This window comes from Homo sapiens, chromosome 17, assembly GCF_000001405.40.
Source record: "Homo sapiens chromosome 17, GRCh38.p14 Primary Assembly".
In the NCBI taxonomy this organism is placed as follows: domain Eukaryota; kingdom Metazoa; phylum Chordata; class Mammalia; order Primates; family Hominidae; genus Homo; species Homo sapiens.
Genome location: NC_000017.11, coordinates 6,651,700 through 6,679,573, shown reverse-complemented (window position 1 = coordinate 6,679,573; position 27,874 = coordinate 6,651,700). Strand labels below are relative to the sequence as shown.

At 51.2% G+C, this 27,874-nt stretch overlaps 1 protein-coding gene, 2 non-coding genes and 1 pseudogene across 4 annotated transcripts, besides 7 other annotated features; 1 reads left to right on the top strand and 3 right to left on the bottom strand.

Annotated features, from left to right (window-relative positions):
* Nucleotides 2,064–2,824: an enhancer, noted in NCBI's record as "H3K4me1 hESC enhancer chr17:6580069-6580829 (GRCh37/hg19 assembly coordinates)". NCBI's record gives its function as "activates a minimal SCP1, AML or CMV promoter by ChIP-STARR-seq in primed H9 embryonic stem cells {active_cell/tissue: H9 hESC(primed)}" and the evidence as "EXISTENCE:reporter gene assay evidence [ECO:0000049][PMID:30033119]".
* Nucleotides 9,229–9,383: a silencer, noted in NCBI's record as "fragment chr17:6573510-6573664 (GRCh37/hg19 assembly coordinates)". NCBI's record gives its function as "represses an EF-1alpha promoter that drives an FKBP-Casp9 reporter gene in an ReSE screen in K562 erythroleukemia cells {active_cell/tissue: K562}" and the evidence as "EXISTENCE:reporter gene assay evidence [ECO:0000049][PMID:32094911]".
* ALOX15P1 (arachidonate 15-lipoxygenase pseudogene 1) lies at nucleotides 18,192–21,855 on the bottom strand (annotated as a pseudogene). The gene is made up of 5 exons (NR_045985.1): nucleotides 21,791–21,855; nucleotides 21,590–21,712; nucleotides 20,660–20,820; nucleotides 19,506–19,649; nucleotides 18,192–18,370 (listed from the first exon to the last, which is right to left on the bottom strand). The product of NR_045985.1 is annotated as an arachidonate 15-lipoxygenase pseudogene 1 (transcript).
* Nucleotides 21,981–22,617: an enhancer, noted in NCBI's record as "H3K4me1 hESC enhancer chr17:6560276-6560912 (GRCh37/hg19 assembly coordinates)". NCBI's record gives its function as "activates a minimal SCP1, AML or CMV promoter by ChIP-STARR-seq in primed H9 embryonic stem cells {active_cell/tissue: H9 hESC(primed)}" and the evidence as "EXISTENCE:reporter gene assay evidence [ECO:0000049][PMID:30033119]".
* Nucleotides 22,157–22,206: an enhancer, noted in NCBI's record as "active region_11590". NCBI's record gives its function as "activates an Ori minimal core promoter by ATAC-STARR-seq in GM12878 lymphoblastoid cells {active_cell/tissue: GM12878}" and the evidence as "EXISTENCE:reporter gene assay evidence [ECO:0000049][PMID:35858748]".
* Nucleotides 23,895–24,467: an enhancer, noted in NCBI's record as "H3K4me1 hESC enhancer chr17:6558426-6558998 (GRCh37/hg19 assembly coordinates)". NCBI's record gives its function as "activates a minimal SCP1, AML or CMV promoter by ChIP-STARR-seq in primed H9 embryonic stem cells {active_cell/tissue: H9 hESC(primed)}" and the evidence as "EXISTENCE:reporter gene assay evidence [ECO:0000049][PMID:30033119]".
* MIR4520-1 (microRNA 4520-1) lies at nucleotides 24,065–24,134 on the top strand. Its single transcript, NR_039745.1, has one exon. It is a non-coding gene; the product is annotated as a microRNA 4520-1 (primary transcript).
* Nucleotides 24,072–24,125, bottom strand: MIR4520-2 (microRNA 4520-2). Its single transcript, NR_039874.1, has one exon. It is a non-coding gene; the product is annotated as a microRNA 4520-2 (primary transcript).
* C17orf100 (chromosome 17 open reading frame 100) lies at nucleotides 26,098–27,812 on the bottom strand. The gene has a single exon (NM_001105520.2). The coding sequence runs from the start codon at nucleotides 27,658–27,660 to the stop codon at nucleotides 27,304–27,306; it is 357 nt and encodes a 118-aa protein (NP_001098990.1). The 5' UTR covers nucleotides 27,661–27,812; the 3' UTR covers nucleotides 26,098–27,303.
* Nucleotides 27,445–27,494: a silencer, noted in NCBI's record as "silent region_8078". NCBI's record gives its function as "represses an Ori minimal core promoter by ATAC-STARR-seq in GM12878 lymphoblastoid cells {active_cell/tissue: GM12878}" and the evidence as "EXISTENCE:reporter gene assay evidence [ECO:0000049][PMID:35858748]".
* Nucleotides 27,795–27,874: a silencer, noted in NCBI's record as "silent region_8077". NCBI's record gives its function as "represses an Ori minimal core promoter by ATAC-STARR-seq in GM12878 lymphoblastoid cells {active_cell/tissue: GM12878}" and the evidence as "EXISTENCE:reporter gene assay evidence [ECO:0000049][PMID:35858748]".

Here is a 27,874-nt window from a genome sequence, read left to right as displayed (position 1 = left end):
ATACATCTTTGTGCACCTATGTAAGAATAGTTTCTGGCCAGATGCGGTGCCTCACGCTCTGTCACCCAGGCTAGAGTGCAGTGGTGCAATCTCGGCTCACTGCAACCTCCACCTCCCTGGTTTAAGCTAGGTTTACATGCTGGGTTTAAGTGCTGGGATTACAGGCATGAGCCACTGCGCCCAGCCCCAAGAGTTCTTTTTTTATTAATTTGTAAGAAGTCTTTATGTATTTAAGAAATTAGTCATTCAGCTGTCATAGGGATTTTTATAATATATGTGAAGATCTGCTGAGGCTACTTTGTTTATTCTTCTTTTTCATTATTTTTGCCTCGCTATTTTCACATATTTTTCCATAAGAATTTCTAAGTCAGCTTCTTCAGTTCCAAAAAAAAAAAAAAAAAAAATGGGTTGGCATTTATCTCCCTGGCTATCTCTCCTATTCCTCTTCCCCTCACTCACTCCAGGATTTCCTGACTTCAGCAATATTGACATTTTGGACCGAATACTTCTTTGTTGTAAGAGGCTGTTGTGTGCACTGTGGGATACCGAGCAGAATCTTAGCTTCTATTAATATTTAGTAGAGGCCAATAGCAACCCTCTCCCCTTCCAGGTGTGACAATGAAAAATGTCTGTAGACATTGCCAAATGTCCCCTGGAAGGCAAAATTGCCTGTAGTTGAGAGCCACTGACTCACTCTGACCTAGAACCCTGGCCCCTGCTGTCTGGAGCATGCGGGGTCTCCTCCTGCTCCCTCACTGCTCCAATCTTTGCTCAGTGGTCCCTTCTCAGCCTAGTTCAGATGACAACTCCCTCATCTGCTCCACACTCTCTCTCTGCAGCCTCCTGGACTTTTCTCTATTGTACTTTTCATCTTCTGACATACTATGCAATTTACTTTTTATTTGGTCTGTCTCTCCGACCTCTGTAAGAATGTAAGCCCTATGAGAACAGGGATTTTTGTCTGTTTTGTTCACTCCTGTTGCCAACCCCAGAGGGTCAGGCTCTGGGAAGGGGCTCCTTGGAACAGCTCTAGGCTCTTTCCTTTAAGAAGAGGGCTGATGCTCGTCTTTGAGTTCTCCCGTGGGGGCTGGCGACACACAGGCTGAGGTGACCTTACCTTACCTGGCCAGCTCCCCAGCCTAACAGGAAGGGCCATACCAGATGGCCCCTCACCCTGCGATGTTTTCCCTACATGGTCCAGTGGAGGAGGATGTTGGAGGAGAGACTGTTCCTTGGCAGGCTCTGCGAGGACAGAGGGGGAAAAGGCTCTCCTTCCCTTCCTCTGTTTCCTGACTCTTCCACATGGGCCACCCCCGTCCACAGTGCAGGAGTGTCTGGGAGACCGGGAGGCACAGCTGAGCTCCAGGGTCTCCTCGCTGGGTGTAGTTCCTTGCCTGTGAAATGGGCACAGTGACCCTTCTGAGCTTCTGGGGGCTCATGTCAGCCATTGCGGCTCCTCCCCACGCTGTCCTTTTCTGCAGTGCTTCTGAGGATGCCTACCAGGACCACACGAGTCCCAGGTCCACCCCAAGGCACCCTCCAGATGGGGCTGTAGCTGTGACCTGGTGCCACCCAGGGAAGGAGTAAGACTTTTAGAAGCACCAAGCACCAAAATGATTATGTGGCCCCCTCCCTCTTCTTGCATAAGTCAACAGAAAACAAGACTGTGCTTGTGAGGAGACCAGCGCCATTGACTGTGGAGAAAATGCTATGTAGGGTCCTGCCTGCCCCTCTCCCTGCACTGTCTCGGGTACCCCCTCCATGCGGCCACATGGGAGAATACCGGGTGGGGTGTAGAAAACAGCTCTGCTCAGAGCCCAGAGACCTCGTGGACAGGGCAGGTCTGAGGCTTGGTGGGCTGGCCCTGCAGGGAGGCTGGGAGCAGGCTCCCGCCCGCTGCTGGGTTGCGGCAGTGTCCCGCGGTTCGCCACTTCACATTTATAGCTACAGCGCTTCTCAGCTTACTGTCCCTGCGGTGGGAGGCCTGGCTCTCTGGAAACCACAGCTGTGGTTTGCTGGGTGCCTGCCTGAGTGCTGAGCTGTGAGGGAGGCTCAGAATTTTCCCAGGATGGTGAGGCCCAGCCCGCAGCTTCAGGCTTGCCCTGGTCTCTTCCTGGAACCTGACTGAGGCTGGAGGGAGCTGCCAGCATATTGAGGGGCCCCTGGCACCCCTGCTCTAATCTGGTGTTCCAGCAGGAGCAGAACCTTGCCAGAGAGCGGGATGCTCCTCAGGCCATAGTGGGACTCCTGAAGGCAAGGGAATGGACGGAGGAGGTGAGGGAGTCCTGAGGCTGGAGAAAGAGCAGGAGCCAGGGGACAAAGTCCTCTTGGCCCCTGTGGTGCCATAGCCAGTGCTGTTTTCAGAGCCACCAGCTCCTCCCCTGCTGCCAAGAGCCTGGGTGGGCCTATCTGGCCGCTTACAGAACCAGGGCTGGGCTACCTGGAGCTTGAGGTTTAATGTGTGCACGGGAAGCCTCCAGATGATTTCTAAGCTGCCAAAGCTGCTGCTCTCAAAGTCGAATTTCTTTCCCTGCTGGGTTCCACAAACAGTTCCTCTGCTGGAGTGGCTGGTCCTGTGCCATCCCTGCCCCACAGTGTGACGTGGTGGGTCTTCTCTGCAGCTGACGCCCCCTTTGGCTGCTGAGGACTCTGAGGCTTGCAGGGGTTTGTCTAAATGGAGGAGCAGGACCAGGACTGGAACCCTGATTCCAAAGCCTCTGCTCTTTGCATTGCGCCATGGGGCACCTGTGCATGATCCGAGCTAAGGAGTGGGACCCTGCTGGCTTGACAGAGGCCTGGGAGAAGCAGGGCTTAGCTCCTTCTGTGCACCAGCCATCCATCTTCTGTGCTTTGGATCAGGTAAGGGACAGATCCTGCGACAGACTGACTCCCGGCCTGCCCCCTCTCCTCTCACAGAGCCCTGGCTCTGGCCTCCTTCTCACTAACTCCAGCGTCAGGGAGGGAGGGAAGGGGCCAGTCTGAGACAGGCCCCTGTGATGTCTGGAAGCTCAAACCCTGCAATCGAGGGAAACCCCAGAGAGCAAACAGGGGAGAGGAGGTGGGGCAGGTAGGGCTGTGATTACCGGGTGGGGTGTAGAAGGAACTGGTGCAAGGACAGGACCCACCTTGGGGAGGTGAGATGGGAGGGCTGTTACCTAAAAACAGACCTGATTTTCATATAAATAGAACACCTATTCACTGTGTTTCTTTTTTTAAAGTTAGGATTTCAGTGTTTTCTTCCTTAGCAAACATCCCTGGCATTTCAGCCTGGGGTGGTTTCAGCCCAATAACATGGGCACTTGGCTGGTTCAGGTCATGATGCCCTTAATCCGGGGCTGAAGCAGTGTGCAGTATGTGTGTGCGTGTGCGTGTGTGTGTGTGCAACTGCAAAGAGCAATTCAGTTCTACATTTACTGACCCTTGGTTGACGCTTCTTCTGTGCTGAGAGATGGGGTCACAGAGAAGAATCAAGCTCTGTCCCTGTCCTCAAGGATACAGCCTAGTAAATGGGGTTAGCTTGGTCTGTGTGAATCAGCAAAGTCTTCATCGGATCTATTCTAGGCAGAGTTTTAAAGACAAATGGGAGTTTTCTAGATTCTTGTTTTTTTCTTGCGCAAACAGTTACTGAGCACCTACTACATGCTATGCATAAAACTAGCAACAGAGAGACAGGACACAGGTCCTCCCTTGAGAAGTCTAGCCGGAGACAGTGATAAGAATAGTAACAGCACAATGTCTTGAGGGTTAAAACAGAAGCATGTGTAAGATGCACCATTGGCTGGAAGAGGGAACCATCCACGTGGGGACGTGAGAACAAGGCCCTGTGCAGGGAGTGGGCTCGTCCTCTGGTGTGGCTGAGGCAAGGGAGCAGTGCAATGTGCACCAGGAGAAGAGGGGGGCTGGGAGACAGGCACTGGGCCTGAGCTTCCTTAGGCCTAAGGGCTCAGCAAGTTGCCCAAGAACATGGGACCACCAAGGAATTGCTGAGGCACAGCCAGGAGCAGGCCTGGCGGTCTCGGGCCAGTTGCCTGTGGATGCGCTGTGTGGTCCAGGGATGTTAGGACAACTCAGTCCCAGCTCTGACCTCCTCACTTATGACCTGAGTGGCCTCGGTCATGCCACCTCTCTGAGCTCCATCTGTTCATGTCTCAACTGGAAATTGTGATAACACTAACCACACCCCCTTGGCAGAGTGACGGGAGGAGTAAATGAGATGGTGCATGAAGGGCCTGGATAGAGCAGGTCCTGAAGCGCCTGGATGAAAGGATGCTGTTCTGCCTCCCCCGCAAGGCTATGGGGAGGTGGGACTGGGCCTGGGAGGGCCGTGTGGAGAAAGGGCAGTTGGCCCTCCTGACTCCTGCTGGTAACCCAGGTCCACGAGCAGGGAGCCAGTCCCACTCTGGCTCTGTCTAGGGTGCCATTGTGGGGCTGAGGGGTGGTGCTCACACTGGAAGAAAAGCTTAGTTGGCCTAGGCCTGGTTAGCCAGGCTGTCCATGGAAGCCTGGCCCCTTCACACTCCTTGGATGTTTTTCTTCTTCTTCTTCTTCTCTGAATTTAGGCCCCTTTGGGCAATAGCAGCCTGTCTGTGACAAGTGTGCCGGACAACCAGGGCTTGGCCCATCTGACCCTGGGACCCTGGTCAGGTCCAGGGTAGAGCAGCATTTGGGAATCTTCGAGGGTGCAGATGCTCTGGGATAGACCTGCCCAAGGTCTGGTCCAAGGACGGTGCTCACCTCTGCTTCCAGGCCCCTGGCTCAGCCCCGAGGCCCAGGGCTCAGGTCGGGCAAAGCGGTAGCATCTCAACTGCTCCCACACCATCCGTGGTCTTCCCGAAACCCTGGTGCTGACTTGGCCTTCGTGGAGGCTGCCCCGGGAGGGGCTCCAACAAGACGGGCCTTGAGAAAGGCCCGTTACCTGCCAGTGCTCGGCCTCCAAAATAGAATTTGAAGGGAGCAAAGCCTTTAATTCCATGTGTCCCAACAGCAGGTCGGTGTGGGGATAACTATGATCTGACTGGTCTTGAGTTATAATTACGGAGTCAGAATGAAAAATTACAGGCATTGTGTGGGCTTGTTTTAAATATAACGTAATCCATACCGTCCTCTCTCTTATTTGCTAGATTTGAGGTGGAGGCTTTGGCAGTTGGCGCAGGTTTTGCCTGACGTGTAGCAGATAAAAATGGCCTTTGCTCAGTGAAGAGGGCATGGTGGGAGGCCTCTGAGACCCTCAGCATTCCCAACTGCCCACTTCCCACAACCATAGGCACGTGTGCTTCCGTGCGAGCCCTGTTTGTCAATCGCATTATCTGTATGTTGCGTTTCCCAGCTGACCTCCCTATTTCCTGTCTCCCTCAAGCCAGTCCACCAGAAACATCTCTGTAAAACCCAGCTTTGATGCTTAAGGACCCATCAAGGGCCTCTCTCTGTCTATAGGGTAAATCCAAACTCCAAGTTTCTTTATGACTTGGTTCCAATCCACATTCCAGCATCACAGCTGGGAACAGGAGCTGTGGCATGGAGGTGACATGAAGTACAAGGGCCCTGGGGCCCAACGGCACAGGCTCCAACTCGGGCTCCAACTCTTAGTAACCGAATGTGAGTCCAGGCAGGTTCCTTTTTCTTTTTCTTTTTGAGACAGAGTTTCGCTCTTCTTGCCCAGGCTGGAGTGCAATGGCGCGATCTCAGCTCACTGCAACCTCCACCTCCTGGGTTCAAGCAATTCTCCTGCAATTCTCCTGCCTCAGCCTCCTGAGTAGCTAGAATTACAGGTGCACACCACCATGCCTGGCTAATTTTTCTATTTTTAGTACAGACGGGGTTTCACCATGTTGGCCAGGCTGGTCTCGAACTCCTGACCTCAGGTGATCCACCTGCCTCGGCCTCCCAAAGTGCTGGGATTACAGGCGTGAGCCACTGTGCCCGGCCAGGCAAGTTCCTTAACCTTAATCTGCGTGCTTTAGCTCCTCCACTTCTTGCTATTTATATGGGGTTGCTGTGAAGACAGAATGAAATAACACACTCCTAGAACCACCCTCGTCATGTCCCTTTTCCTCTCCAAGACTTAGCTGACCGATCACTGAAAGGAGGCAACAGAAATACTGTCTTTCGAGTTAGTCGATGTTTCTTTGAATGATATTTCTTGGTGTAGTTGATGGTGTGTGGCGAGATGGGCATGTGTTAGTTCAACCTTTCTCAAAAGTAAAATAAAAATACACATGCGAAATCTTAAAACATGCCTATACCCTATGAGTAGGAATCTAAGCTAAGGGAAAAATGAAATTGTGGACAAAAATTTATGCATAAAGATGCTTACTTTAGTATTTTTTGTTTTGTTTTTGAGACGGAGTCTCACTCTGTCTCCCAAGCTGGAGTGCAGTGGGGCGATCTTGGCTCACTGCAACCTCTGCCTCCTGGGCTCAAGTGATCCTCCCACCTCAGCCTCCCCCACTCCAGTCCCCAGGTAGCTGGGACTACAGGCGTCAGCCACCACACCCAGTATTTTTTTTTTTTGAGATGGAGTCTCACTCTGTCCCCCAGGCTGTGGTGTGCAGTGGCGTGATCTCAGCCCACTGCAACCCCTCCACCCCTCCCAGTTCAAGCAATTCTCCTGCCTCAGCCTCCTGAGTTGCTGGGATTACAGGCACCTGCCACCATGCCCAGCTAATTTTTGTATTTTCAGTAGAGACGGGGTTTCACCGTGTTGGCCAGGCTGATCTGAAACTCCTGACCTCAAGTGATCTGCCCACCTTGGCCTCCCAAAATGCTGGGATTACAGGTGTAAGCCATGACGCCTGTCCCAAGATGTTTACTTTGGTATATTTTTATATCCTTGAAAAACTGAAAACATACATGCCTGACATTTAGGTAATATTAGTTAAGGTGTGTCAGCTCAAAAGACTATTATGCAGTCATTAACAGTGTTTTTAAAGAATATTTCGTTATATTGAAAATGCATATAATCGGAGGTAAATAAATCACGTATAATGTATGGTCGTAGTGATAATAAAAATATGCGAGCACAGAAAAGGTTGATATTGAAATAGAATAGCAGTTATCTTTGATGAACGGATAGAAGGATTAATATTTTCTCCTTTATAGTTTTCTGTATTTTCCAAATATCCTAGAAACAGGCATGCATTATTTGTATAATTTTTTAAAAGCTTAACGTTAAAATGTTAAATAAAATGAGAGGGTAGGGCCGGGCGTGGTGGCTCATGCCTGTAATCCCAGCACTTTAGGAGGCCGAGGCAGGTGGATCATGAGGTCAGGAGTTTGAGATCAGCCTGGCCAACATGGTGAAATCCCATCTCCACTAAAACATACAAAAATTAGCCGGGCATGGTGGTGCACGCCTGTAGTCCCAGCTACTCGGGCAGCTGAGGCAGAAGAATCGCTGGAACCCGGAAGGTGGAGGTTGCAGTGAGCCGAGATCACGCCACTGCACTCCAGCCTGGGCGACACAGAGAGACTCCGTCTCAAAAAAAAAAAAAAAAAAAAAAAAGAGAGAGAACTTGATGTCAGAGTTCCCTTCTGGCTGGTATCAATCTACGATTCTAATAGGCTGGGACCACCCACAGGGCCTGAGAGGTGACTGCAGAGAGCCCTCAAGACCTGCCTCAAAGACAAGCAGCCACAGGGCAGGTCCAGAGCCCGGAGTCAGCAACTCACTGATCATGAGGATTCGCCAAGTACATCCACACAGCCTTCCCTTGAAGCCAGCTGCCTCTCTAGAGTCTTTCTGAAACTTTCCCAAGTGTTGAAGACTCTTCCACGCCATTGAAAGTGGGCAGGGTGACAGCCCCACTCTGACCCTGCTAAACCATGGGGCCTCGGTGGCCCCCCGTCCACCTGGTGCCAAGTGGGGTTTGGCCTGAGAGGTGAGCTCTTTCTGCCACTTCAGGTAAGGGGCTCGTTGGAGAAGGTAGGCAGGCGGCGCCATTGTCACCTCTGTGGACCTGTCTACTGTCCACACATCTGGACTTTGGGGACACCACTTTCTGGCTCTTTCAGACCACACACCCCCAACGGCCAGGACACACAACACTGTCTGGTGAGTTGTCCTGAGGGTGGGGCTTCTGGAACACTTCCTAAGAGGGAGTCACTGAGGGACAGCCTGCTCACTCCCAGCTACTTCTGGGATCTCAGAATCACTGGATCCAATCGAGCAGGTCAGCCCAGCTGAGGCTACCTGGAGAAATGAAAGGGGCCTTTGGTGAGGCCCTGGTGGAAGGAAGGGCAGGGCACCATGTGAGTTCACAAAGGGAGCTCCCCGGGGAGGGAGCCCTTGGAGGCAGGAGCCTGGAGCCCTGTGCCCAGAACCCTGCGCCCCGCCTCTAGACTGCAGCTTGTCAGGGCTTGGCTAGGACCTCCATGAACCAGCTCCACACCTGGCCAGTTAGGAACCAGAGAAACTCAGAGGAATCAGAGGCTAAGACACTGAGACAGACAGGCTTAGAGGGACAGTAAGAACAGCAGTCGGCGGGAGGCAGGCAGAGGTGTGGGGAGACACAGGCTGAGAAACAGACAGTGCCTGAGACAGGGCGGAGAGGCCCCCACTAGGCAGACTGTGCACATCAGCACCTCCAAACAGGCTCACCCTCACGATCACCAGGGAACGCAAATTAAAGTCCCCCTGATGTGCCATTCATTTCACACCTATGAAATTAGCAAACATTAACAAAATTATAATGTCTCATGCTGTTGAAGCTGTGCTGAAACCAGCTTACACACACTGCCAGTGGCAGTGTAAATTAACACCACCTTTTTAGGGGAGAAATTGGGCAATACGCTTCCAGAGCTATAAAAATGTTCATACCTTTTAATGTGGTAATTCTGCTCCTGGGAATGTGTTGTAAGGAAGTCATTCAACAGAACCATGAAAGACGTGTATCTAAAGACCATGAGGGCAGTGCTCTCCGCTATATCCCGGGGGCTCTAGTATGGCCGCCATGAATATTTTTTAAAATAGGGAATATTAAGACTATAGGCTGGGCGCGGTGGCTTGAGCCTGTAATCCTGGCACTTTGGGAGGCCGAGGTGGGTGGATCACCTGAAGTCAAGGGTTCGAGACCAACCTGGCCAACATGGCAAAACCCCGTCTCTACTAAAAATACAAAAATTAGCCAGATGTGGTGGCAGGCACCTGTAATCCCAGCTACTCAGGAGGCTGAGGCAGGAGAATTGCTTGAACCCGGGAGGTGGAGGTTGCAGTGAGCTGAGATTGCGTCACTGCACTCCAGCCTGGGTGACAAAGACTCTGTCTCAAAAAAAAAAAAAAAAAAAAAGACTATATAGTATAACATTTAAGGGTTCTTAGAATATGTGAAAATGAGCAGAAAATAAAACCATCTGTACATTAAAATTAATAATTCCATAAAACAGCTGCCTGAAAGCTCAGGGCAGCCCCACCCTTGCTGGTGGAGGGTGAATGGTTCTTGATTCCCGGCTGGCCATACAGACACTCCTGTCTTCCCACTGAGGGGCCTGCCCTGCCGCTCCCTGTCTGGAAGCCTAATCTGCAGACCTCAGACCGGTGGGGAGACAGGCTCAGCAAAGCCTGCCCACCTGGCCAGCTCATGGGAGTGGCCCTGGGGAGTCTGAATGGTGCTCACTGAGTCACATCCGCTGAGGTGTGTCTCTGATGTCACACCTACAGAGGCCAAACCAGAAAGGAAAAGAAAGAGATGGTGGGGTTGGGTCTTGGTTTAAGAAAGGGATGCAGTGATTCTGCAAGTTCTGAAGTGTCTTGCTTGTTGCAAGCACAGCGGTCTGTTTAAGCCAGCTGACGTCTGGATGCCCAGCTGGTGCATCACCAGCTGAAGACAATTTAGAATAGATGGAAGGCAAAGGAAGAAGGGATCCTGGGGTCACCCCTCCTGGACTGCTCCGACAGTAGGCACGATCTCATTCTAAACTTGATCATCCAGTTCTGCATGTTTCCCACCACTATTACCCATCACAGAAGCTGGCACTGAACGGGAACTCAGTGAATTGTGGGTGGATGAAAAGGTGAGAATTTGACATATTCTAAGACCACGTAGTATAATGACCATGTAGTATGAATGAGCACATGTCACCAGACAATTCCAGCTCTATCCAAAGCCTCTCTAGCTTTTCAAAGGTGCCCTTCATCATGTTCTGGGGATGCTATGCCCCTTGTGCCTGCCCTGCTAACTGCCAAGGGGATGCCCTTCCTTACAGAGGCCAAGAACATTCAGTGACCGTGCCCAGGTCCAGACAAGCCCAACCTTGTTCATTCGCTCCACGCATAGCTACAGAACACAAAGAGGCTTTGTGACAGGCCTGCCCTTGATGTGCTTTCAATCTCACGGGAGAGACAGGAGGAAACAACAAAGAATCATTCACGGAGTGACCACATGGATGCTGTAAAAACAGGCAGCAGCGGTGGGGAGCGAGAACACCCAGGAAGTGGGCTCAGAGTCAAGGACTAGGCAAGTCTCCTTGGGGAGGTGGAAATGGAGCAGGAATTTGAGGACAAACAGGAGTTTATCTGACAGAAGGAGCAACCGAGGTCAGGGGCACGTGTGAGTTTGCTTCAGCCTTCCCCAGCTTCTCATCAGTGAACCACAGGCAAGAAATTCATCCCGACCATTCCTTCATTCCTTCATTTATTCCTTCCACCAACACTTACTGCATGCTGGCTCTGTGCCAGACGCTGTTCTAGGTTTGGGGATATAGGAGTAAACAAGTCAAAGTCCTTGCTCTCCCGTGGGGAACATAGATCATAAACAATTAAGCAATGAATAAATAATATCAAGTCCCATTTTAGTAGGCGCTATAGAGAAATAGAAAAGGTTGACCAGGCGTGGTGGCTCATACCTGTAATCCCAGCACTTTGGGAGGCCAAGGTGGGCGGATCACGAGGTCAGAAGTTCGAGACCAGTCTGGCCAATATGGTGAAACCCTGTCTCTACTAAAAATACAAAAAATTAGCCTGATATGGTGGTGTGCACCTGTAATCCCAGCTACTCAGGAGGCTGAGGCAGGAGAATCGCATGAATCCGGGAGGCGGAGGTTGCAGCGAGCGAGATCACGCCATTGCACGCCAGCCCAAGCAACTGTGCGAGACTCCATCTCAAAACAACAACAACAACAAAAATGAAACTAATTAATCCAGAACAAGATTCCCAGCCTGTGAGAGGTTGGTGCTCAGGACGGAGGCCTGGGCGAGAGAGACATCCGCAGTCAGGCAGCGGTTGCCATGTGAGCGCCGGGGCAGTGTGCAAAGTGAGAAGCTAAGGCGGAGGAAAGAATTCTGGGGACCACTGACATTTGCCGGGTGTGGGGGGAGGGGGAGAGAGAGTTCAGGCTTACGGAGAACAACAGAGGAAAAAGTTTTGATGAGGAGGGAATTGTCCCCAGAGCCAAATGCTACGGAAAGGTCAGAGAAATTGGGGGTCGAGAAGAAGCCATTGGATTGGGAAGGGGAAACAGCACGAAGTTACATTGGGAAGGACAGATTTGGTGAGGTTGCAGTGCAAGGGCAGGGAAAAACGATCAGGACGGGGACGTGTGAGCAGCGAGGGTAGAGAGCTCTTTGAAGAGCCTGGGAAATAAAATGAATAATGGCTTAGGGTGTGCAGGGGTGGGCAAGAGGCAGAGAAATGGGAGTCCAGTTAGGGCAGGGGGAGATGAGACATTTTTGTTGACCTAGGCAAGGGACCAGGAGGAGAGGGAAAAGCTAAAGACTTCAAGGAGGAAGATGTAACCCAGGGACTTCCCACTGCTTCCTTCCCACCCCCTCAAACTCGGGCTACCTGGGACCCCCCAGGCTTCCTGTCTGACGCCAAGCTAAATGCCCTCTGTGGCACCTTCCCCCACAGTGGTTGCCCAGCGTTTGTCTGCTCTTGCTTTAGAAGACAGAGTGCTCACCGCCACAGGGCTGGCTCAACTGTGAGAAATGTTTTCCCTGGAGATCTGACACAGACGTGGCACAGTGTTGGGGTTTCAATGGGGCTTCCTATGTTTGTCTGTAGAATAAAGTTTTTTTTTTTTTTTAAGACGAAGTCTCACTCTGTTGCCCAGGCTGGAGTGCAGTGGTGCGATCTCGGCTCACTGCAACCTCCGTCCCCTGGGTTCAAGCGATTCTCCTGCCTCAGCCTCCCAAGCAGCTGGGATTACAGGCAGCTGCCACTGTACCCGGCTAATTTTTGTATTTTTAGTAGACACGGGGTTTCACCATCTTGTCCAGGCTGGTCTTGAACTCCTGACCTCGTGATTCACCCATCTTGGCCTCCCAAATTGCTGGGATTACAGGCGTGAGCCACCACGCCCGGCCAGATTTTATAATACATTTTTTAAAGTCTTTCTTTTTTTTTTTTCTGAGCCCAAATCCTCCTAGCTTTTCACCGTTTGATTCTAGTTCTGCTCTTGAGGCTGCCTCTGACAAAGACAGCCCTTCAGATAGCAGAATGAAGTGGTGTCTACCCATTCTTCCCATCTTAGGCTTGAATATCCCCTGCTCTTCTGATGGCCTCCAGGGTTTCTCCCGACCACATCACACCCTCAGTATCCTTAGGAGTAGATACAGTAGGTAGAAGACTAGGCATTTATTCCTCTTGTACCAACAGCGGCTGCTGGTTGAGAGCATAAGCTCCGGAGCCAGCTAGCCTGGGTTTGGATCCTGGCTCTGCTTCTTCCTAGCCAGGAATGCTGGGTAAGTCACCTAAGCTTCTCAATCCTCAGTGTCCTGACCTACTTCACCTAGGTGTGAGGAGTGCATGAGTTAGTACATGTAGAGTGCTGCAAACAGTGCCTGGGGGAGACTGAGAGCTCAGTGTGTGTTCTCTGCTCTACGATATTAAAGTGCCAGGCCAGGTGCAGTGACTCACATCTGTAATCCCTTTGCACTTTGGGAGGCTGAGGCAGGAGAATCATCTGAGGTCAGGAGTTGGAGACAACATGGCGAAACCCTGTCTCTCCTAAAAATACAAAAATTAGCCGGGCGTGGTGGCTCGCACCTGTAGTCCCAGCTACTCGAGGAGGCTGAGGCAGGAGAATCGCTTGAATCTGGGAGGTGGAAGTTTCAGTGAGCTGAGGTCGCACCATTGCACTCCAGCCTGGGTGACGGAACAAAGATGGTTTTACAGGACCTTGGTTTAAAAGTAACTAGACACCTGGAAGTACTCCCAGGGAGGTGAAAAATATCCAAAGACAAGGATCCAGCCTGTGGATGGAGACTGGAAAGTGGCTGCAGTTATATCACACAGAGAGTGCTGCGATGCCTAGGAGGACCAGGTACGTGTGCCCTGTCTCTTTCAGAAGCTTCAGGCCTGGCTTCAGGCTTCTGTCCTGCTTGGCATTCGCCTGTGGTTTCCAACTCCTCCGAAGTCCAGCCTTTGCTGCTGTGCGGGGATTGTCTGCCCTCTACTGTCCATCGTCTGTCATGGCACACATTTAACAGATGGCCAGGAACTCAAGAGGGGGCACTAATTGGGAGAAAACTTAGAGACGCACTTTTCTCCAACTCTTTTGACCATGACTCCCAGAAATATATTTTACACTGCGATTCCAAACAAAAAAGTTTCACGAAATAATGTTTACCAGCCAGGCACCGTGGCTCACGCCTGTAATCCCAACACTTTGGGGCAGGGGCGGTGGCTTATGCCTGTAATCCCAGCACTTTGGGAGGCAGAGGCAGGCGGATCACCCGAGGTCAGGAGTTTGAGACCAGCCTGGCCAACACTGTGAAAACCCGTTTCTACTAAAAATACCAAAACAAAAAGAAAAATTAGCTGGGTGTAATGGTGCGTGCCTGTAATCCCAGCTACTCAGGAGGCTGAGGCAAGAGAATCTCTTGAACCCAGGAGTAGGAGGTTGCAGTGAGCCGAGATGGTGCCATTGCACTCCAGCCTCGGTGACAAAGCAAGACTCCATCTCAAAAAAAATAAAATTAAAAGAAAGAAATGTATTGTCTCAGGCCACTCCGGGCCAAATACTGTGCTGAATCTATCAGTCTTAGGACTTTTAGAGAGAAGGCTCCACACTATCATCTCCTTGGAGCCTGGATATCAGTGTATAGACACCTTGAAAGAGCCATTTTGAGACCTTCCTAGACCATACACATTCTTATTTTTGGAGATCCTGATCCATATCATATGATACATACTAAAATTTATGCACATTGGGACTTACTGTTTTAGTCCATTTTGCATTGCTATAAAGGAACATACAAGGCTGGGTTATTTGTAAAGAAAACAGATTTATCTGGTTCACAATTCTACAGGCTGTACAAGAAGCATGGTACCAGCCTCTGCTTCTGGCGAGGGCTTCAGGGGACTTCTACTCATGATGGAAGGTGAAGGAGAGCAGGCATCACAGGGAGAGAGCAAAAGAGCAAGAGAGAGGGGAGCTGCCAGACTGTTTTTAGCAGCGATATCCCCCGCTGGAACCAGGAGTGAGAACTCAATTCTGCAGGAATGGCACTAAGCCATTCATGAGGGATCCGCCCCCATGGTCCAAATACCTCCCACTAGGTCCCATCTCGAACACCAGGGATCAAATTTCAACAGGAGATTGAAGGAACAAGTATCCAAACTATATCACTTATTAATTTCAATTTTGTTTTCTTTTTGTATTTTGAAGGCAACGAGTTTTTTGGGCCTCAGCCATTTTTGTAGGCCCTTGAACAATTCACAGGCCTTAGGACTATACCCTATCATGACTAATGGGTGAAGTAGCCTTGGTAAAAAAAAATCTGATCAATGAATATACACTAAGGAGAAATTTAATTACTTAGCCCTTATCTCCTGGTCTTTTTTTTTTTTTTTTTTTGAGATGGAGTCTTGCTCTGTCACCAGCCTGGAGTGCAGTGGTGCGATCTTGGCCTACTGCAACCTCTGCCTCCCGGGTTCAAGTGATTCTCCTGCCTCAGCCTCCCAAGTAGCTGGTACTACAGGCATGTGCCACCACGCCCAGCTAATTTTTGTATTTTTAGGAGAGACGGGGTTTCACCATGTTGGCCAGGATGGTCTCCATCTCTTGACCTTGTGATCCACCTGCCTCGGCCTCCCAAAGTGCTGGGATTACAGGCATAACCCACCATGTCCAGCCTCTCCTGGTCTTTTTAAAGGGAAATGTGGACAGGCCATTAACACTAAATACATGAGTTCCTACTGGTGAAATCTTTGCTACTCTGGTAGACTGGTGGGGGCAGTACAACTGCAGGTGGACCAAATGCCATGCGACTGGCAAGGTGTTCTCACTCCGAGCCTCAGTTTCCTCAAAGTAAAACAATGGGATTACATTAGCTTGATGATGTTCAAAGATCATTAGCATTGGGACCCTTTTGCAAATGAAATCTTATATGGCAAAAAGCAGACGTGGGATGGATAGACTTCTGAGTTTAACAGCTATGCAGGATGTCTGTGAAGACATCCAGGAGAACCTCCCCTAGGTGCCTGCAGAGATAGAGAGGTTTACTACAGGCAAGGACAGGTTTAGGGACCCCAGGAATTCCTGAGGCCTTGATTGGATCTCAGCTCTTAAGAACAGCAGTGTTTTTCAAACCTCATTGACAGTGACACAGTCAAAAATAAAGTTTGCTTCAAGATATGGTACATATGTAGTGAAATACAAGTTTTCATAAAATATATACACTGTAAAATAAAAGATTGTCCCACACGCTGGCTGGGACAAGGATGTTTTGGGAATATAAGCCACAAAACTCTTCTTGGAAATCAATTGTATGCCTGATTAAATGCTTAAGCCACTTTCTGATGAATTTTAATGAGATTATGACCTCTTGTTAGAAACCAGTTACCTATGTACACAGCTAATATCAACCCTGGAGGGAAGGAATCCAAGGGCCTTTAACTGTCTTTTAATAAATCTAATAATCCTTAACTAGAACTTTTCTTTCTTTTTCTTGTATCCAGTCTAACAATGATTATCTAGTCATTCTCTTTTCCTGTAAAGTGTCCTTACCTATAGACACTTGTTGAATTGACTTAGCAAAAGCCTCATTTCTTGCCGCAACATTGTAATAAAAACTTTGACACTGGGTCATAACTAAATTGTCCAAACCTGGCCAGGCGCGGTGGCTCATGCCTGTAATCCTAGCACTTTGGGAGGCCGAGGAGGGCGGATCACCTGAGGTCGGGAGTTCAAGACCAGCCTGGCCAACATGGTGAAACCCTGTCTCTACTAAAAATATAAAAATTAGCCGGGCGTGTTGGGCACCTGTAATCTCAGCTACTCGGGAGGCTGAGGCAAGAGAATCGCTTGAACCCGGGAGGCAGACGCTGGGCACCGTACTCCAGCCTGGGTGATAGACCGACTCTCTGTCTCAAAAATAAATAAATAAATAATAAAATAAATTGTCCAAACCCACCTCCTTTCTTACCCTTTCCTCTTTCCTTCCTTCCTTCCTATTAAACAGTGTGATGTATTCTGATATTGCTCTACTGATATGTTTTATTCTACTCTATTTCATTTTTTAAAATGCTGACTGGGACCCCCTAAATTGATTTCGCCAGTCTTTAATGTTTTGACTGCAGTTTAAAAACCACTGGGATAGCAATCCTGGTGGACCACTTTATTAAGACAGAAACACATTGTTGCCATTATAAAATAAAATCAGAGATGGAAACCAGGAAAGATAAAGGCACATGGTGAAAGCTGAGAAACTGTCTTCTGAAATTAAAAAAAAAATTAAAGGATGGGGGCAAGCCAAAAACTTTGAGAATATGGTTGCAATGCAAATAAGTGAGAATTTGTCTTCAGAATATTTAAAGGACTCAAGTAAGAAAAAGACGTGAAAGAAGCAAAACGAGCAAAGATATGAATAGAGAAGTCACAGAAAAAGAAACCCACAGGGGTAATAAGCGTATGAAAGGATGCTCTACCCTACCAGTAGACAGGAAAGAACAGAACCTGGAATTATTAAAACTTCAGAAACTTGGAGGAGGGACCCTGGAGATCTGAAACTCAGACTTTTGATAAGGGGTGCCAGTTGGCTGGTGCTGGTATTCTGAGCAGGGATGCAATAAAGCAGCTTTTTCAAACATTAGAAAGTTGCAACGTGGATTCAGCTGCCACTAAGGGAAGGAACATCTGCTACCAGGGTGAATTAGTTACTGGTGTGAGCTCGACATGGAGCCAGGTAAGAAGGCAGGAATATGGTTTGCAGAGACCTAGCCTTAGACAGGAAGCTGACTTTAGAAGGTAGAGGGTTGGAGCCAAGGGCGAAGCCTAACTCCCACAGTCAGTTCTATTGGTTAATCAGCATTTATATTTAAACTTCCATACTCAAAAGAAAAAATGGGCCAGGCGTGGTGGCTCACACCTGTAATCCCAGCACTTTGGGAGGCTGAGGCAGGCAGATTACCTGAGGTCAGGAGTTCAAGACATGGTAGCACACGCCTGTAATCCCAACTACTTGGGAGGCTGAGGTAGGACAATTGCTTGAGCCTGGGAGACAGAGGTTGCAGTGAGCCAAGGTTGTGCCACTGCACTCCAGCCTGGCTGACAGAGTGAGACTGTCTCAAAAATAAAATAAAATAAAATAAAATAAAATAAAATAAAATAAAATAAAATAAAATAAAATAAAATATTCTTTTCTATCTAACACAATGCAACTATTCTTCATAGAAATAAAGATGCTATTAGTCTCTCCTTGAGAAAAGAGACACACAAAGTCCCAAAAGTCACTGCATCCGTCTCTGGGAGAGAGTAATAATATTCATCTCTGAGCTACGATAATTACTCCATGAATGGAGTCGCAGTCCTGTCTGAATATTCTGTTACCTAAAAACTAAATTGTAAAGTTAATCTTCCACAAAACGTATATAAAATAATGAGGAGGAGACCTCCAGCTGGAGTGAAGTAAGGAACTGGATTTACCCTCTTGCCTGAAATAACTGAAGAAACAGACACAAGTGGGCCCCACAATTGCCCCAGCTTACTGCCTGGAGAAAGCTTTCCAGCTGCAGAGTAGGGAGGAGCAACCCTGGCAGAGTCCTATCATCTTCCTGAGTTAAGGGGACAGAGAGAGCTGGCAGTACTGGGAGGCCAATACAGCCAGAATTCACAGGGCAGCATGCTGAAATTGAGGGTGTTGTACAGAAAGAGAACTCTAGAGAAACAAAGGTCCCCATCAAGTATTCAGCTGAATACAGGAGAGAAGGGGATAAGGTGTTACCTTGAAGATAGGATGTATCGACGGCAGGCACCTCATGGTGGCCACAACAATGACCTGAGCCATCAAGTGTCCCCTCAGAAGATGAGACTGCAGCTCACGGAGCTGGAAGTCAGAGCTGCGCACCCAGCATTGGGCCAGAAGCCAGACCACTGGGGGATCCGTGGGCAGGAAAAGGGGAGGTGGTGGGGATCCTGTGCTGGGCAGCTGGAGCTGGAGCAGGGACAAGTGTGGGGAGAGAAGGCATGAGTGCCCGGCACTCAGCGATTCCCGCCCCCCTTGCATGTTAACCTCGTCCTCCAAACCTGTTCTGCTTTCCCCATCCCACTCCTGCCTCTCCCTACAGCTCCCATTTCCTCCCCTCCCCTTCCTACCAGCTCAGTGCATTAGCACCCTGCAAGCTGCTTTGCCTCCAGCATTCTGCAGAAACTGCTCTTCTGGTGCCTCCTCCAGCCTCCACTTCCCCTTTCAGTCCCCGCATTGTGGACAAGATTCAAACCACCTGCTTCCTCCATCCCACACTGTTTTTCGAAATCTCATCTTTTGGCCCCACCTCTACACAAATGACTGAATCTCTTGTTCTCAGCTGCCTGCTGGACAATTTAAATGTCTTCCCGTTACCTCAACATTGGCCAGACAAAAGTCTACCTGGGCACCCTGTTCTCTTTATTGGTGCTATTTCTGCAGGCACCTGGCCTGGCTCCCCTTTCCCCTCTCCTTCATCTCCCTCTGCACTCGCATCCACCGGTCCTCTCCATCCCGACGGTCACTACCCATATCCGAGCTCCCCTCCTCCTGGGGTCAGTGCTGGGGCATGTTGCCCCAGTCCCTGTTTCTAGCATCTCCCCTCTCCAACCCACCCTAAACACCACTGCCCACACCGCGTGCCTATAGCATGTTTCATCACAGCCTTCTCCAGCTTCCCACTTCATGCTCCTTAGCCTGGCTTAGTCTGGCCCCAGTCCAACTGTCCCCTAGGAATCTCCTGACTCCTCTACCTTAGCCTCTGCCCAGTCTGTCTTGCCCCTGAGGACTGGTCCTTCCTCTCCCTCCTGCTTGTCTGAGACCTGGCCCTCCTCCAAGGCTGGTGACATCCCAACTCCCCGATCCCTCCTGGGCTGTCTCTGTCCTCCGGGACTTCCTCAGTCCCGGAGCTTCTGCAGACTAGCCCTATGTGTCTCTCCAGCTACATTGCAAGGCCTTCGAATAGAGACTTGGCGCATTTCCTCCTTTCGCGTCTCCCTGGTGCCTTAGCCCAGCGCCTTTGAAGATGGTGCTTAGTGCATTTCGATAAGGGGCTGAGCTGAGAAGGCTGGAGACTGGGAGCAGAAATCCTGAGTCCTCTCACCTGGATGACCATGGGCAAGAGTTTCCCATCAGGCTGCAGTTTCAGCATGACCAGAGGGGCAGCCAGGTGCTGCTGGCTACAGAGACTGACGTTGGCCTTGATCCCATCCAGCAGGGAGAAGTCAGCTTCGAACAATGTGCCTCCCTGGGTGCAGGAAGAGGTCAAAGGCTGCTATCAACATAAAGCATCTTCTTCCCACTCGGATTCCTCCAAGGGGGAAGAGAGAGAGAGAGAGGAGAGAGAGAGAGAGAGAGAGAGAGAGAGAGAGAGAGAAGCTAACTTGTCTCCATCACCTACTTTGTACCAGGTAATGGATCATGTGCTTATTGCCTCATATCATTGTTTATTTTTTGAGCCAGGGTATTACTCTGTTGCCCAGGCTGGAGTGCCATGGCGGGACCACCATGGCTCACTGCAGCCTTGACTTCCTTGGGCCCAGGTGATCCTCCCACCTCAGCCTCCCAAATAGCTGGGACTACAGGTGCATGCCACTACACCAAAAGTTACAGGTGCTAATTTTTGTATTTTTGTAGAGGCAGGGTTTCACCACGTTGCCTAGGCTGGTCTCCAACTATTGGGCTCAGGTGATCCTCCTGCCTCGACCTCCCAAAGTGCTGGAATTACAGGTGCAAGCCACTGTGCCCAGCCTTATAATTTTTATACCTAGTTGAACGAGCCTCAGTTGCACAGAAGAGGAAACAGATAATCAGAGAGGCTGGGTATTTTGCCTGAGGTCACACAGCTTACAAATAGCAGAACCAGGATTCACATCCAAGCCTATCTGCCCTTAATCCCATGAATTTCCTCTCTGTTGTTCCATATCGCCTCCTGATGAACAGCCACAGCACTCTGATCCTGACTCTCTTACTCTGCACACTCCCCGAATCCCTAGCACCAGGGGCCAGTCACATTTCTTCATTTGACCCTGTTTCTATCAACCATTCCATCTTGCACGCCCTCCCTCCACAGCTACTCTCGTGTGGGAAGGAGGCCGAGCAGCTGAGCTTCTCCAGGGTCCCTCAGGACCTCTCCTGCAGAATCCGTCCTTGCTGGCTGGCAGCAAGCCAGGCCCACAGTGGGTCCCGCAGCAGCATCATTGGCACTAGGCCACCCCACTTCACTGCTGAGCTTCCTCAGGGCTCTGATGTCCATACCTCCAGCTCCTTCTCCAGCTGGGCCTGCAGTTCCTCCATGCCTGGAGGGAACACTAGGCGAGCAGGAAGGTGAGCAGAGCGCCTCAGCACCACGGGGTTGGCGCCATTAAGAAACTGGTACCCAAATAAGGCATCTTCCTTCCAGGAGTCCCGCACGCGCTCTGGGGAAGGCAGTTGTTGAGCAAGTTGTGGGATCTGAGCTCTTGGTCCTTCCAACCCCACCAACCATGCCCCCTTGACTCCAGCCCACCAGAGGGACCCAAGTCTCTGGTCTCCCCACCCTGCTTCTTTCAATTCCCCTGGGTTGGGTGGGATCTGGGGGTAAGCGTCCTGGGAGACATATTGGGGTGGGGGACTGACCAGCCAGCTTGCTCTGGCCACAGCAGAAAATCTGGTTGAAGTCATTCAGATCATTCTAGCAAGTCGGAACATTATTTTATTTTTGAGATGGAGTCTCACTCTGTCACCAGGCTGGAGTGCAGTGGTGCAATCTTGGCTCATTGCAACCTCCACCTCCTGGGTTCAAGCAATTCTTGTGCCTTAGCCACCCAAGTAACTGGGACTACAGGCGCGTGCCACCACGCCCAGCTAATTTTTGTATTTTTAGTAGAGACAGGGTTTCACCATATTGGCCAGGATGGTCTCGATCTCTTGACCTCGTGATCTGCCCGCCTCAGTCTCCCAAAGTGCTGGGATTATAGGCGTGAGCCACCATGCCCAGCGTCAGAACATTTAGTTTTTGATAGTGAGGTCGGCCAGCCTTCAGGACAGAATGGGGCAAAGGGTTTGAGCATCATTCTGAGACTCCAACATGACAGCCACAGGCACCGACCTTGAGCCGGTCCAGTGCAGTGCAGTGCAGCCCATAAGCCCCTTGGCTTCCACTAGACCAGGACACCTCCCTCTCACCCAGCCTCCCCTTGCTCTCACCCTTTGGCCAGCGAAACCTTAAAGTCAACACTCTTGTCTTCCAGAAATTGCTCATCCACAGGGAGGTCACATAGTTTTGCCCCAGCCACATTCAGAATTAACCCATCCTTCAAGTTTCCCCACCTGTAGGGCAGGAAGGAAATCAGGCGTGGGTGCTGGAAGCATCAGCAGCTCACGTGGGGTCAGGGGAGGAGGGCTCACCGGTACAACTTCCTTCTCTCTTCCAGCTCCTCTTCCTGGTGTTTCTGGAACAGGCCTCGAGGGTCGTCGCCCACAGTACGGCCTAGAAGGCCAGAGGAGGGCTTGGCCAGTGACTTTTGGTGAGCGCCTCTTCTCGCCCCTGCCAGGAGAGCCTCATCACTCCGTCCTTCTGTGTGACCCCTGCCTCTTCAGCATCACGCCCCTCCCCCAGGCTCCAGCCACTTTGTGCCAGCTGCAGCCACAGCCCCTTCGACACTCCCAAAGAGCCCTGCGCTCCAGGTTCCAGCACCCCCATCCTGCGCCCTCTTCTCCACACGCGCATCCCCCCAGCTTCTCTCGCACCCCAGAGGCCTCCTGACACCCCCAGCCCCGCGCTTACTGGTGCCTTCAGGCAGGCTCAGGACGCCGTCGACCTCCACCCAGCGGTAACAAGGGAACCTGACCTCGTCCCCGGCTCCGGGGCCCTACACGGAGATCCAGCTGCAGAACCTGAAGGAAGTGACGTTTGCGCAGTTTCACAAACATCAGCGGCCCCAGGTACTCCGGTACTTCCACCTTGAGTTCTGTCTCCTGCGGGCGACAGAAGAGGCTCAGCCCCGGTGGGGCCTGGCGGGAGGGGCACCCGGCTGAGCCCTGCTCCCTCCAGCGCCCACGCCCTTCCTCGGAGCCTCTGAGAGGAGGAGACGTATCGGGGTGGGGGGACTGAGCCAGAGAGAGAGGGACCGCGCCGAGCAGGTGGCCCCAGGACTCGGTTCTGAGGGGACGGGGACGGCAGGTGGGAAGGTGCGCTCCTGCCTTCACTTTCTCCTCCCTGTGGTCACTGACTGTGCCAAGCGCTGGGCTGAGCGCTGCCGCGCCCTGGACGAGCGCGCTGTGGAGCCCGGACGCGCTGGTGGCAATTCCCGCTGTGCGACCCCTCCACCCCACCCCGCCCGAGGCTGAGGACCTGCAGGGGCCCCACCGGCCTGGGGACAACCTTCCCGGAGACCTGGAGGCGGAGAGGGCTCAGCCAGGGAGAGTGACAGAAAGGGAAGGCAGGGGAAAGGCGCGCAGAAAGAGAGCGGCGGGGAAGGGAGGGCGAGCAGCATCTTGGATCTGGAGCTCAGAGCCCAGGTGTGGGGGGTCAGCAGGTCCGGAGGCTCTCGAAGGTGGCGCCAGGGGCTTTGGATTTGGTCCCGAGAACAAGCGGGAGCCGTTCGAATGTGTTAAGCAGGGGGAGTGAATTAGGGAGAAATCATTCCGGCTTCAGAAGGGCTTGGAAGGTCTGCAGCAGAGGTGGCGAGGCCGCTGGAGGTTTGAAATGGCTTTTAAAATAGAGAAACCGGGAGGACCGACGACCGCTCCGGCGACCGCAGTTTCCAGGCACCAGAGCTGTGTGGAATGAGGGGCGCTCAGGAGCATCCCCTTAATTCCAAGGAGATCGAGTAGCGGAAACATTTATTGAGCGTTTACTGTGTGTCACCAACTGCCCACCATAGGGAGGAAAAAAGGGAGGAGGGAGCGCGCCTTTCCACCTTCCGTGCCCCGTCCCCTCACCATGGAGTCGCGGGGCCACCTGCTCCGTGCGCATTTTCTCTCTTTCTGGCTCCCTTTGCCCCGCTTTCTCGGAAGCTCGGAGCAAGGGCGTGGAGTGCGGGGAGCAGGGCTCCGCAGGTTCAAGAGGACGCGGGCGATCGGGGGCGGGACGGATATTGGGCAGGGACGCGGGAGATGCTCAGGGTCTAGAACTGACTGCGCCGGATTCTTGTTTAGAGGGAGGTGAAGAGAGGAAGGAGGCGCGGGTGACACCGGGGGAGGCAGGAGGAGAGGGCTGGGAGGTGGGGAGAGGGGAGGACCTCATCCGGGCATGTTGCTTTGACGTTCCCTGAGACAGACATCCGGATTTGGCGATCTGGGAGAGAGCTAGAGCAGTGATGGGAATTTGGGCTTTCGCGGAAGAAAAAAAGTAACAGGACCGGGTAGAACACCCGGTAGATATGACATGAGATATGACGGGAGGTGGGTCGGGAAATCGAGAGCGTTCTCCTGTCTTGACTCCCCATCCCTTCCCTCTCACCACCCACTCCACCCCAGGTGATAAAGCCTGAAAGGTAGAGATCCAACAGCGCTAGCGGTTGAAACGTTTTTTAAAATAGAGAAAGCGAGAGGACCGACGGCGGCTCCGGTGACTGCTGAGTTTCCAGACAAGGGAGCTCTGTGCAATGAGGGGCGCACAGGAGCATGCCCTCAATTCCAAGAAGATCAGGTAGCCGGAAAATTTATTAAGCGCTTACTGTGTGCCACCTGCGTGTTTTCTGTCCAAATCAGAAAAGGATTTGGACAGAAAACACGCAGGAAGAAGGAATCAACCCCTGGTACAGCAGGCAGGCGAGGTAGGGGTAGGAGTTATGCACGTGTATGCAAGCCTGGATGGCTGGGAAGCCAACCTCCATCTAAAGGCAAGCGCGGACATGCACACACACACACACGCCTCACAAGTTGGATTGCAAGAGAGGGTGAAGTGGGCGAGGAGACCCAGTCAGCCGTGGCATTTGAGGAAGGTACATTTAGGCCACCGAATTCATTCCACCAACTTTGCACACTTGTCTTCCTTGTGCCAGGCTCTGGGACTCATTCCTTTTGAGGGTAAAAGTCTGCCTCCCTGGACTCCTGCCCCTCAGGCGCTCCCACAGCCCGGCACCGCCCCCTCGCCATTCCGGAGCCAGCGCGGGCTAAGCGGGCCTGGCCGGGGATGAGCGGAGCCACCGTCCCCATATTCCTCGGTGCCCCGGGACCGCAAGAGGGAGCCGTGGTTTCCGGAACTCCTCCCGCCCCTCCGGGCTTTTCCTCTGTTAGGCAGGTGGCGATTCGCTGTCTTTGCCTGTTATGGCCGCTGCCGTCGCCCTGGAGACAGGTGAGTAGCGCTCTGAGCCTGGAGTCTTCGCAGATAGAACTCTCCTTGGCCCAGACCTCTTCTCCCGCTTCCCCTGGGCCTCCTTCCAGGCCTCACTCCCGGCAGGATTAGTATTTGGACAGGGAGGAGAGAAGGCTCTTGCAGCGTCTAGAAAGGCTAAGGTACTCTGCAGTTTTCCTAATTTGGTTTGTTCGCACACCTTTGCTATTCAAACACGACCCCACCAGCTTCCCAGCGTGGGCGAGACTAAGGGAGAGGACTTGTGTCTTAAAGCGTGTCCTCCTTGTGTCTTAAAGCGTGTCCTTGATTGGTTTTCTGCTTCTCACATGAGCTTGCATACGTTTGAAATATCGTCGCCAGACCTGTGTATCATTGTGTTACTTGTGATTCTTATATATGCATATGTTCCATCATCTTTTAGGCTCTCTGGAGTCTCTTGTTCAGCTTGCATCCTAAGTTTTTCTTAACTGATTCAGCACGTGCTTTTGCGAAACTTAATCACTGTTAACAATTGTTACAATGCATTATTAAAATAGGGGAAGCCACAGTTATTACAGCCTACCTTAGAGATCACTGTTAAAATTCCTACATAGTGGCCCATGAGTGGTAGGTATTGTGTCTCATTTGTGTTGCTGTTTTCTTTGATGATTTCTCTTTACTTTTAAAGGTAACCCTCTTCCATGACTGTTCCTTAAAGTGGTGCGCTGTCCCAGTAGACCATGCTCTAGCTTTCCAAGCTGCTAGAACTGTCAGTGTTTCTCAGCCTTGGCACTATTGACATTTTGGGACCAGTGATTCTTCATCGTTGGCAGAGGGGAGGGTGTTGACCTGTGCACTGTAGGATGTCAGGTGGCATCCCCGGACTCTACCCGCTAGGTGCCAGTAGCACCTAATGTGCCACCCACCCCCTCCCAACAACTTTTCAACCAAACTAAAATGTCTCTAGAGGTTGCCATATATCCTCTGGGGGACAAAATCACACTTAGTTGAGAACCACTGTCCCACATTCTACACACAGAAGCCAAAAGGATATTTTTTAAATGTAAATGGCATCATGTCGTTCCCCTGTTGGAAACCCTTCAATGTTTTCCTGTTGACCTTAGAATAATCTCAAATTCCTTACTGTGGCTTAGAAGACCTTCTGTGGACTGGCCCCTGCTTGCTTTTAACTCCTCTCTTCCGTTCTGCTTCCATGTCTATATAATTGCTTCTCTCTCACTCCAGCCACACTGGCCTTCTTTCTGTTCCTTGAACATTCAAAGCTGGTTCCCATCCACCCTTTGTATTTGCTGTTCTTCTGCCTAGAATGCACCTGTTCCAGATCACTGTTCATTCACACATATCTCAGATTACATGTTAACTAATCAGCAAGGCCTTCCCTGACCATTTTATCAAAAGAAGCCACTTACTTCCATTCTCTATCACATTACCCATGTATTTCCTTCATAGTGCTAATCACAATAGAAAATTGTCTTGTTTCATCATTGCTTGTCTGCCTTTTCACCAGAGTGTAAGCTCCACTAGAGCTGGGACTTTGCCTTTTTTACTGCTATAGCCCAAGTTCCCAGAATACAGACAGTTCCCAACTTAAGATGGTTTGACTTATGATTTTTCGACTTTACAATGGTACAAAAGTGACATTCAGTAGAAATAGTACTTTAAGTACTCTTACAACCATTCTTTTTCACTTTTAGTACAGTATGCAATAAATTACATGAGATATTCAACATTTTATTATAAAACAGGCTTTCTGTTAGATGATTTTGCTCAACTTTAGGTGTTCTGAGCATGTTTAAGGTAGGCTAGGCTAAGCCATGATGTTTAGTAGGTTAGGGGTATTAAGTGCATTTTCAAATTACCATATTTTCAACTTACAATAGTTTCAACGGGAGGTAACCCCATCGTAAGTGGAGGAACATCTAGTGCCTGGCACAGAGCCGGTTCTCAATAAATATAACTCTTCTCCATCTTCTTCAAACCTCAGGCCAGGTTTCAGTGACCTCCTCTCACTTTCTAAGATTATTTTTGCTTGCTGGTGGGTTTACTGTCATTTTTAACCACATCTAACCTACCTTAAAAAAGTGTATGGATGGGGGTGCCAGGTACAAAGACTTAGCATAAAGAAAACGACCATTTACTTTGAAACATAAACAAAGGCCAATTAATAATTTATGAGTCTGTTCCTTGTCCCTCGAGTTTTTAGCAGGCATGGAATCATTCCACAGGTCATTATTTCAGTTTGGTCTCTGTTCCTAAGGGGTGAAGGTTTTCTGAGGGCTGTGGATCCCAAACTCACCTGGCTCAGAGGCTCAAACAGCCTCTCTTTGTCCATCAACCCGATTTAGACAGCATCCTGGGCCTGAAAACCTTCTGTGCTGGCTTCAAGTGAAAATAGTTCACTGGGTCAAAAGTAGGCTGGTCCAAGACGCAGGACGGTCAGTAAACGTTGGCTGTGTTCAGAAACTGCGGCTTGGCTGTTTCTTACATTGATTTATGGTTTGTTTCCATGAAACCGAAAATGATTGGTCCACCTGGCAGCTGGCTGGCTGGCTGGCAACTGGAGGCCTTTCTGTCCTGGCTGAGGGCCCTGGCCCCTTGGTGGCCTTTGGGAAGCAGCATCTCATCGGGCCGTTTTTTCGTTCTGGCGGGCGGCCGGCTTGGCCCGCGGGGTCGGGCTCTCCGCGCAGTGCAGAGACGTCTCCACCCTCAGGGACGAGGCTCTGACGTGGCGGGAGGTCGTTTCCGTGCGCTGCGAGGAGGATTCCACGTGCCGGGAGGACGCCTCGAGGATGCGAGGGAGCCGCTTCCCCGAGGGGGAGAGGGAGGGCCCCTCGCTGCGGCGCTGGGAGGTCTCCACCCGCCGGGACGACGTCTCCACGCGGTGGGACGAGGTCTCCACGCGGACCGTGGACGTCTCTGTGTAGCGGGTGGTCCCCACCCGGGGCGAAGACTGCTTGGCCCCTCGGGCTGAGGCCATTCTGCCGGCGTGAGGGGGCCAGGGAGGCCTCGGGGCACCCTACAGCCCAATGGTCACCGCAGGCAGAAGAGAGGAAAACTACGGTACTGCCATAGCCGGGAGCGCCACAACACGATGACGTGGAAGCACCATGGTCCTTCGAAGGCTAAAACACTGGACTCCTGCCCCTCAGGCGCTCCCACGGCCCGGGCCCCGCCCCCTCGCTATTTTGGAG

Bases quoted from the DNA above. Each gene is read 5' to 3' on its own strand.
- C17orf100 (NM_001105520.2), bottom strand. From the start codon at position 27,660: ATGGCCTCAGCCCGAGGGGCCAAGCAGTCTTCGCCCCGGGTGGGGACC.